Here is a 10983-nt window from a genome sequence, read left to right as displayed (position 1 = left end):
GAGCTACTCAGGAGGCTGAGGTGGGAGGACTGCTTGAGCCCAGGAAGCAGAGGTTGCAGTGAGCTGAGATTGTGCCACTGCACTCCAGCCTGGACGACAGAGCAAGACCCTGTCTCAAAACACAAACAAACAAACAAAAACAAACAGAAAAACTGGGGTTGTTAGCAATTAGTTTGCTTTGAACTTTATGGTGCCTATGAACTTTGTGACCATTAGCATAGACTCCCGACACATCCACGCTATCTGGTTTCAAACCCTTGTAACAACACTTGGGGGCCAGGCACGGTGGCTCACGCCTGTAATCCCAGCACTTTGGGAGGCCAAGGCAGGTGGATCATGAGGTCAGGAGTTCGAGACCAGCCTGACCAACATGGTGAAACCCTGTCTCTACTAAAAATAAAAAATTAGCCGGGCATGGTGGTGGGTGCCTGTAATCCCAGCTACTCGGGAGGCCAAGGCAGGAGAATTGCTTGAACCCAGGAGGCGGAGGTTGCAGTGAGCTGAGATCGTGCCACTGCACTCCAACCTGGGCGACAGAGTGAGACTCCATCTCAAAACAAAACAAACAAACAAAAAACACTAGCTTGAGTAAGTGATTTTAGACAAGTCACTTCATCTTGCTAAGCTTCACTTTCTGTTATTAAGTAGGAAAAATAATAGTACATATTTCATAAAGTTGGTTTGAAGATTGCATGAAATAATTAATTGAAAAATTTTAGCACAGTGCTTATCAATGTAGTAGTCATGCAAGAAAAAATTACTACCAGGTCAGATATCTCTCTGTATTCCCAGTTCTCATCTCCATCACACACATGAGCCATTCTACCTTCTTTTCACATTAGTTAACACCTACTGACATCCTTTCTCTTCTGTCAAAATTAGAAAATGTTTTTGGGCATCAAGGACATTGTCCTATAAACCAAAAGGATAATTTATCAGTTAGCATGTTTCCAGCTCCAAATAACGGCAAATAACCATCACTCTTCCCCACCCCCAAAACACCACATACTCACTGGGCTTAAATAATAATGGCACTTATTATCTTATGTAACAAAATGTCTAAAGGTAAGAAGTCCCAGGGTTAATTTAGCAACTGTATACTATCATCAAAGAAAGACCCTGTTCTTCTTATCTTTCTGACCTACTATCTTCAGTTATTTTTATCCCCAGACTGACGTTTTTAATTGGCACAAGATCATATTTTCCCCATTTTAATTTATTTTATCAAATGTATATAGAGGTCTTATCCTTCGGTTTGTTTTTGTTTAAACCATTTTGCTATTTTGTGTCTGCTAGCGAGCCCAAGAGGCGTTGCCTATTAACCATTTACTGTTAATTTCTTCGAAAATTTTTGTTTAGCTCTGATTATTTAACTAGGCAGTCAAGATAATGTGTATGCATAATAACACATTGCAGTTACAGTTATAGACAGTGTCCAGTGGAAAAAGAGAGTGTTTCTTCTTTCAAGATGAAGAAACTATTCTCAAAGATCCTCCAGAAGTCTAAACCAATTCCTGGCAGGCAGGCTGGATTATGATGTTTCCCTTAGATCAAGGATAGACACATCTTCCCTGAGAGGTAGAGGTAGGTTCTTTTACAAAAATCAGGGTTTGTTTGCAAAGGAAACAGTGAATGTTGTTCTGCCAAGAAGAACAAATAGTTACTTGGCATCTTACTAGGTGCTAGGCATTAGTATAGGTCCTGGAAAGACAAATATATTGCATAGTTGGTTCCTTGCTCTTAGTTTTATTGAGGAAGACACATCATAGGCATCTTCATTACTCACCAATACAGAATCAATTGCTATGCTGAGGCTGTTGCTGAGAAATAAACTTGTAGCCCTCGGACCTGATCTTAAGATATTTCAGACACTTCATCTATAAGGTCGGAACAATGACACTGTTCTTAACAAACTGGTCACTTACAAGAATGATCTTTATACATTCTTCAGACATTGAATACCTGCTGTGTAAGTATATGCTAGGCCCTGACAGCCCCTGCTCTTCTAGAGCACCCAAGTGATCTCATTTTTCGGCTGCTAACATATTTTTAAAATTACCAAAAAAGTGTTTATATGTTTTCTTAAATCACGTTATTGAGATATGACTGAGATACAAAAAGCTGTACATATTTCGGGTATACAACTTGATGAGTTTGAAGATAAGTAACCAAAAGTAGCTGCTCACATATCCTGTGTTGTCAATTCAATTCAAGAAGATTTAGAGAGCATCTGTGATGGCTAATTTTGTCAGCCTAGCTAGGCCACAGTGCCCAGATATTTGGTCAAACATTGTTCTAGATGTTTCTGTGCAGGTATTTTTTAAGATGAGATTCACATCTAAATCAGTAGCCTTTGAGTAAAGCAGATTACTCTCCCTAATGTGGATGAGCCTCATTCCAATCAGTTGAAAGCCTTAATAGAAAAAAGACTCGCCTCCCCCAAGGAAGAGAGAATTCTGCCAGACTGCCTTTAGACTCGAGCTGCAACTCTTTCCTGGGTCTTTAGCCTGCTGGCCTACCCTGTCGAACCTGCCAGCCTCCACAATTGTATAAGCCAATCCCTTAAAGTAAACTCTCTTTCTCTGCATGTGTGTGTGTGTCCATCCTATTGGTTCTGTTTCTCAGAAGAAACTTGACTAATACAGTATCTAAAATGTGCCAGCCAGTCTGGCGCGGTGGTTCACGCCTGTAATCCCAGCACTTTGGGAGGCCAAGGCGGGCGGATCACTTGAGGTCAGGAGTTCAAGACCAGCCTGGCCAACAGGGTGAAATCCCTTCTTTACTAAAAATACAAAAATTAGCTGGGCATGGTGGCGGGTGACTGTAATCCCAGCCACTTGGGAGGCTGAGGCAGGAGAATTGCTTGACCCTGGGAGGCGGAGGTTGCAGTGAGCCAAGATTGCACCATTGCACTCCTCCAGCTTGGGCAACAAGAGCAAAACTCTGACTGAAAAATAATAAAAATAAATAAATAAATAAACAAAATGTGCCAGCCAAGCACATGCTTGGCGCTTCTTGCACCTACAGAGGTAGGGCAAAAATCACACAAGGAGAGAAGACACTGTACAGTATAATGGCACGAGGCCGTGAGGAGTATGGAAGCAGAGAATGTTCAAGGTACATGGTTGGCAACTATGAGAGAGTTAATGGTATCAGCTCAGTCAGGGTGTTCAGAGACGGCATCCAGAAGATCAGCTCATCAAGGAAAACAGGCTCAGACTTCACCGCTGATTTCAACCAACCACGTGACTGCTGTCCCTTCCTTTTGCAGTTTTGACACAACTGACCATCATTCTGCCCTGATAAGAGACCACCAATCACAGATTGGTTCTGGCCAGCCTACAGAGGACCTGCAGTGAGGGTTTTTGTGTCCTCTGCTTCACCTTTTAACATCAGAGGGCCGAGAACTCCACCCTCAGATCATGCTAATGCTGCCATTTTTTGTAAAAGGGACTCTTGAAGGGGCATGACGCTCAGTTGCACATGCACATGTTTCTCCTTTCATAAATATTCATGACTCCTCCTATAGTTTATTAAATACATGTATTTTTGTAATCCTACCTACTTGGGAGGCTGAGGCACGAGAATCGCTTGAACTTGGGAGGTGGAGGTTGAAGTGAGCTGAGATTGTGCCACTGCACTCCAGCCTGGGTGACAGAGTGAGACCTTGTCTCAATAAATAAATAAATAAATATGTGTACTTGGCTGCTCTGCTCAGCATACATTCCTGTTCCCTTTGCCTTTCCCTGGAGGTGCCTCTTTTTGGCTTCTGGCTGGAAGGCTACACTTCCCAGACTGAGAATGGCCATCCTGCCGTCTGCAACCCTTTATAAAAATAAAGCTCTCTTTTCCAGATTTATAAACCTTGTGAATTTTCAGTTGACAATAAGTTTCTTTTTTTTTTTTTTTTTGAGACGGAGTCTGGCTCTGTCACTCAGGCCTGAGGGCAGTGGTGCAATCCCAGCTCACTGCAACCTCTATTTCCCAGGTTCAAGCAATTATCCTGCCTCAGCCTCCCAAGTAGCTGGGATTACAGGCGATCGCCACCACGCCCAGCTAATTTTTGTATTTTTAGTAGAGAGGCAGTTTCACCATGTTGGCCAGGCTGGTCTTGAACTCCTGACCTCAAGTGATCCACCTGTCTCAGCCTCCCAAAGTGCTGGGATTATAGGCATTAGGCACCGTGCCCAGCTGACAATAACTTTCTAGGGAGGAAGCTGAGGCCAGTGAAGACAGTTACTCAGAGTTTATATAACTCAGTTTCACACATGGAGAGAAGTGGGCCTGGAGCCCATGCCCTCTGAACTCCCAGCCAGGACTTCTTCCATTCCTTCTACTGTCACTTAGAAAAAAATTGAAATGACATGATAGACTAAACACCTATGAAAGATTTGAACCTCCTGAGTCTAATTTTTAAAATATTTGCTGGGCGCAGCTCACGCCTATAAACCCAGTACGTTGGGAGGCAGAGGTGGGAGGATCACTTGAGCCCAGGAGTTCAAGACCAGCCTGTGCAATAAAGTGAGACCCTGTCTCTACAAAATAAATAAATAAATAAAATTATCCAGGTGTGGTGGTGCACACCTGTAGTCCTAGCTACTGAGGAAGCTGGGGCAGGAGGATTGCTTGAGCCTGAGAGTTCAAGGTTACAATAAGCTAGGGTCACACAACTGCACAGTAGCCTGGGTGATAGAGTGAGAACCTGTCTCTAAATAAATAAATAAATATTCTATATCCCACTCCCAAAGAGCCTTAAGCCTCTTGTTGATGACAGTCTAAAAGTGGTATTTAAAGAAAAATCTAAGATATGCACCGTAATTCTAACAAGCAGGCAGGAATCAAATATAGCAAGAGGTAGAGATGGGAGACTATATGGAGAGGAGCAAAAGAGATAAGTGGATACAAACCGGTGTTTTAAAACCTAGGAGTGGCCAGGTGCGGTGGCTCACACCTGTAATCCCAGCACTTTGGAAGGCCGAGGCAGGCGGATCATGAGGTCAGGAGTTCAAGACCAGCCTGGCCAACATGGTGAAACCTCCTCTCTACTAAGAATACAAAATTAGCCGGGCATGGTGGTGCATGCCTGTAATCCCAGCTACTCGGGAGGCTGAGGCAGGAGAATCGCTTGAACCTGGGAGGCAGAGGTTGCAGTGAGCCAAGATCGTGCCACTACACTGTAGCCTGGACGACAGACCGAGACTCCATCTTAAAACAAAAAACAAAAAACAAAAAAAAAACCCTAGGAGCAGCTTCCACCCCTCTCTGCAGAGCAGAAAGAGACCCGAGGGAAGTCCATGTGGATGTGAATCCTGCTCCTCCCAACAATGCAGTAGCCCGCTCCTGTAGGTCAGGGCTTTCCAGCCTTTGCTCTGGAGATCCACCAGTAATTTTCAAATCTTCTTTGGTACATTTCCTGGCAGATGACCTCTGTTGCTCCCTTTCTCCTGGTTTCGCTGGGATTTCCCACAGGAAGAGAAGCTCAGCTGGCCAGCTGAGTCCTAAGTTCCGCTTCCAGGGTTTACAATGAAACAGCAATGCTCTTGCACACGGTCCCATCCTAAGGGGACTTCACTGCCTGCTAGAATCTCAGTAGGTGAAAATACAGCTTCTAGGAAACAAAAAGTGACTGCTCCCTAAACCAAAAGTTTGGGGGGCCTTACTGAAATTATCTTTCTTTCATGTTATCATTCTTTCTGCCCCACAATTCCTCCACTGGGGTCAACCTGGGCAAATGTACATGAATCTACTCTTATTTCTATTTCTAGAAGAGTCCTTGAGACAAAAGGTAAAGAAAAATCTAGTCAGGGGACATTTTGTTCCTCTTGTTTTTCCAGCAAGCTCCTTCCCCCTCTGATGAGGCAACAGTCCCTCATCCCTTGGTCTCTGGCATTCATTCCTAAAATTACTCTCTGGAGAGAACTCCTGAAGTTTAGGGTGGGGCATCTAAACAAAGGACACCAAAAGGTTTCAAATGGCAGCCAGTTTAGGCACATTTCTTAGTTGTGTCTGGGGCCATTGGAGGAGTCACGCAACCCCAGTGGCCACTGGAGAAATCAGTTCAAGGCTCAGGAGAGATTCAATCTGAGAGTGCTGTTAAGGATCTTCACTCCATAAAATCCTGTTCTTCATCATGTGGTACTTGTATAAATCAGGCCCTCAAGTGGTCAAATTCCTTCTCGTATTCAAATAATAGGTAAATATCTACATAAGGTTAACTTTTTTTGTTTGTTTGTTTGTTTGTTTTTTTTTGAGTCAGAGTCTCACTCTGTTGCCCAGGCTGGAGTGCAATTGTTCAATCTCAGCTCACTGCAACTTCCATCTCCCAGGTTCAAGCGATTCTCATGCTTCAGCCTCCGGAGTAGCTGGGATTACAGGCACCCACCACCATGCCCAGCTAATTTTTAAATTTTTAGTAGAGATGGGGTTTTGCCATGTTGGCCAGGCTGGTCTCAAACTCCTGACCTCAAGTGATCCACCCTCCTTGGCCTCCCAAAGTGCTGGGATTACAGGCGTGAGCCACTGCACCCGGCCACACGTTAAGTTTTAAATGTTGACCCTTCTAGAAAGAGTTATTGAAGGGGAACTTCCCCTTTCCATCCAAGCCTTGCAATTTCTCTTTAATTTTAGGAACAGAATCAAATTCCTTTTCCGAAATCTGGAAACCATGACCTTTGACGTTGTGGACCAACGTAATATAAAAAAAATGGCAACTGTTTGATTCACTTTTCAGAATAATACAAAAAAAGGAAGAAGTGGGGGACAGAGCTGGGGAGGAGAGAGGGAGGAGGAACAGGCTGTTTCCATGACCCTTCAGCTCTAATTCATTCACGCCATGGTGACCCACTTTGAAAGCATAGATCATGTCTGGCTTCTCCTACTGCCTAGTCCTTGGTTCCTGTTTCTCAGGGGACAGGGAAAATGAAATAGAAACTGAAAAGGGTGACTTTTGTAACTTCGTTAGTGGTTCTGGTGGACAGTGTGGCAGGGCAGGGGAGTGGCAGCCAGTGGCAGTGACATTTAACGCCTCAGGTCCTAGAATCGTGGACTGCCTGGGATTCCACCATAGTCCCTTACTCTCAGGCAGAGAAATCTCTGTTTTCCCCAAACAGGATTTGTCTCTTCTCTTCTTAAAGCATCAGGCAATAAAAATTTGCAACCTTCTTTGAAAGTCACCTTTTCCAGCTTCAACACAAAAAAAATGCTTCCTTAAACACAATCAAAATTTATCCTGCTTACATGTAGATTATTTTCTCCAGTTTGGTCGCCTACAGATGTAGAAGGCATTTATGGCCATGACTAGCTCAAAACAAAGAAACAGAAACACCTCAAAGCCACAGAGGATCATTACCAAAGGCCTCAAAATCATTTGGCCCATCTAAAACATCTTGGCTCCCCATTCCTCTGTTCTCTGAGCTGCCTGGTTTAGCATCCTTTTTGTTATTGTTTGTTACTTTCTGCCGGATCCTCTCCACATTTAGTTTGAAATTGGACGTAATATTCCAATAAGGATCTGGGTTCATGTAGAAAGAATCCAAAAAGATAATTTCTGGCCATGGTATGTCATATTGCCACTCATGTCTCGCAATATTTTGTTGGCATTTTCGCCACACTGCAGACTTAAATTCAGCTAGCTGCCCTGCTCTTTTTCTGCTACTGTTTCTTTTTCTTAGGATCGGTCCATGTTGTCCTTATCTCTCCTAGTCAAGCCATTTTGCTTCCCCAATGTTTGAACCCTTCCAGGCACATAGTAGGCACTCAATAAATTTGGGGGGGTGGGGAGGGATTGGAATGATGCCAAATGAGTGGCACAGACATAGGATCTCAGAGAAGGGAAAGAGCAGATGGAGATTTAGAAGAGTCAGGAAAGCTTCTTGGGGAAATGGCATTTGGCCTGGTCCTTTGAGGAAGAAAGATGTTTAGATGGGCAGAGAGAATGGGGAAAGGCAGCCAAGGAAGTTGGGGGACAGTGTGTCAAGAGTCACAGGCAAGGATTATGAGGCAAGGTGGCAGAATAGGAACAGCTCCAGTCTACAGCTCCCAGCGTGAGCGACACAGAAGACAGGTGATTTCTGCATTTCCAACTGAGGTACTGGGTTCATCTCACTGGGGTTTGTCGGACAGTGGGGGCAGGACAATGGGTGTAGCCCACTGAGCGAGAGCCGAAGCAGGGTGAGGCATCGCCTCACCCGAGAAGGGCAAGGGGTCAGGGAATTCCCTTTCCTAGCCAAGGGAAGTGGTGACGGACGGCACCTGGAAAATCGGGTCACTCCCAGCCTAATACTGCACTTTTCCAATGGTCTTAGCAAATGCCACACCAGGAGATTATATGCCGAGCTTGGCTCGGAGGGTCCCACGCCCACGGAGCCTTACTCATTGCTAACACAGCAGTCTGAGATCGAACTGCAAGGCAGCAGCGAGGCTGGGGTAGGGGTACCCGCCATTGCTGAGGCTTGAGTAGGTAAACAAAGCGGCCGGGAAGCTCGAACTGGGTGGAGCCCACCACAGCTCAAGGAGGCCTGCCTGCCTCTGTAGACTCCACCTCTGGGGGTAGGGCATAGCTGAACAAAAGGCAGCAGAAACCTCTGCAGACTTAAATGTCCCTGTCTGGCAGCCTTGAAGAGAGTAGTGGTTCTCCCAGCGTGGAGTTTGAGATCTGAGAATGGACAGACTGCCTCCTCAAGTGGGTCCCTGACCCCCGAGTAGCCTAACTGGGAGGCACCCTCCAGTAGGGACAGACTGACACCTCACACAGCTGGGTACCCCTCTGAGACAAAACTTCCAGAGGAACGATCAGGCAGCATCATTTGCTGTTCAGCAATATTCGCTGTTCTGCACCCTCCGCTGCTGATACCCAGGCAAACAGGGTCTAGAGTGGACCTCCAGCAAACTCCAACAGACCTGCAGCTGAGGGTCCTGACTGTTAGAAGGAAAACTAACAAACAGAAAGGACATCCACACCAAAACCCCACCATCATCAAAGGTCACCATCATCAAAGACCAAAGGTAGATAAAACCACAAAGATGGGGAAAAAACAGAGCAGAAAAGCTGAAAATTCTAGAAATCAGAGCGCCTCTCCCCCTCCAAAGGTATGCAGCTCCTTACCAGCAACAGAACAAAGCTGGATGGAGAATGACTTTGATCAGTTGAGAGAAAAAGTCTTCAGATGATCAAACTTCTCCGAGCTAAAGGAAGAAGTTTGAACCCATCTCAAAGAAGCTAAAAACCTTGAAAAAAGATTAGACAAATGGCTAACTAGAATAACCAGTGTAGAGAAGTCCTTAAATGACCTGTTGGAGCTGAAAACCGTGGTACGAGAACTACATGACGAATGCACAAGCTTCAGTAGCCGATTAGATCAACTGGAAGAAAGAGTGTCAGTGATGGAAGATGAAATGAATGAAATGAAGCAAGAAGAGAAGTTTAGAGAAAAAAGAGTAAAAAGAAATGAACAAAGCCTCCAAGAAATATGGGACTATGTGAAAAGACCAAATCTACGTCTGATTGGTGTACCTGAAAGTGATGGGGAGAATGGAACCAAGTTGGAAAACACTCTACAGGATATTATCCAGGAGAACTTCCCCAACCTAGCAAGACAGGCCAACATTCAAATTCAAGAAATACAGAGAACACTATGAAGTTACTCCTCGAGATGAGCAACTCCAAGACACATAATTGTCAGATTCACCAAAGTTGAAATGAAGGAAAAACTGTTAAGGGCAGCCAGAGAGAAAGGTCGGGTTTTCCACAAAGGGAAGCCCACCAGACTAATAGCGGATCTCTCAGCAGAAACTCTATAAGCCAGAAGAGAGTGGGGGGCCAACATTCAACATTCTTAAAGAAAAGAATTTTCAACCCAGAATTTCATATCCAGCCAAACTAAGCTTCATAAGTGAAGGACAAATAAAATCCGTTACAGACAAGCAAATGCTGAGAGATTTTGTCACCACCAGGCCTGCCCTAAAAGAGCTCCTGAAGGAAGCACTAAACATGGAAAGGAAAAACCAGTACCAGCCACTGCAAAAACATGCCAAATTGTAAAGACCATTGATGGTAGGAAGAAACTGCATCAACTGACGAGCAAAATAACCAGCTAACATCGTAATGACAGGATCAAATTCACACACAAAAATATTAACCTTAAATGTAAATGGGCTAAATGCTCCAATTAAAAGACACAGACGGGCAAATTGGATAGAGTCAAGACCCATCAGTGTGCTGTATTCAGGAGACCCATCTCACATGCAGAGACACACATAAGCTCAAAATAAAGGGATGGAGGAAGATCTACCAAGCAAATGGAAAACAAAAAAAGGCAGGGGTTGCAATCCTAGTCTCTGATAAAAAAGACTTTAAACCAACAAAGATCAAAAGAGACAAAGAAGGTCATTACATAATGGTAAAGGGCTCAATTCAACAAGAAGAGCTAACTATCCTAAATATATATGCACCCAATACAGGAGCACCCAGATTCATAAAGCAAGTCCTTAGAGACCTACAAAGAGACTTAGACTCCCCCACAATAATAATGGGAGACTGTAACACCCCACTGTCAACATTAGACAGATCAACGAGACAGAAAGTTAACAAGGATATCCAGGAATTGAACTCAGCTCTGCACCAAGCAGACCTAATAGACATCTACAGAACTCTCCACCCCAAATCAACAGAATATACATTCTTCTTAGCACCACATAGCACTTATTCCAAAATTAACCACATAGTTGGAAGTAAAGCACTCCTCAGCAAATGTAAAAGAACAGAAATTATAACGAACTGTCTCTCAGACCACAGTGCAATCAAACTAGAACTCAGGATTAAGAAACTCACTCAAAACCACTCAACTACATGGAAACTGAAACACCTGCTCCTGAGTGACTACTGGGTACATAACAAAATGAAGGCAGAAATAAAGATATTCTTTGAAACCAATGAGAACAAAGACACAACATACCAGAATCTCTGGGAAACATTTAAAGCAGTGT

At 44.2% G+C, this 10983-nt stretch overlaps 1 annotated feature.

Annotated features, from left to right (window-relative positions):
* Positions 8410-8911: an enhancer, noted in NCBI's record as "H3K4me1 hESC enhancer chr3:119287249-119287750 (GRCh37/hg19 assembly coordinates)". NCBI's record gives its function as "activates a minimal SCP1, AML or CMV promoter by ChIP-STARR-seq in naive H9 embryonic stem cells {active_cell/tissue: H9 hESC(naive)}" and the evidence as "EXISTENCE:reporter gene assay evidence [ECO:0000049][PMID:30033119]".

Source organism: Homo sapiens, chromosome 3 (genome assembly GCF_000001405.40).
Source record: "Homo sapiens chromosome 3, GRCh38.p14 Primary Assembly".
Lineage (NCBI taxonomy): Eukaryota > Metazoa > Chordata > Mammalia > Primates > Hominidae > Homo > Homo sapiens.
The sequence above is the reverse complement of the archived record's forward strand: the minus strand, read 5'-3'. Positions and strand labels throughout refer to the sequence as shown.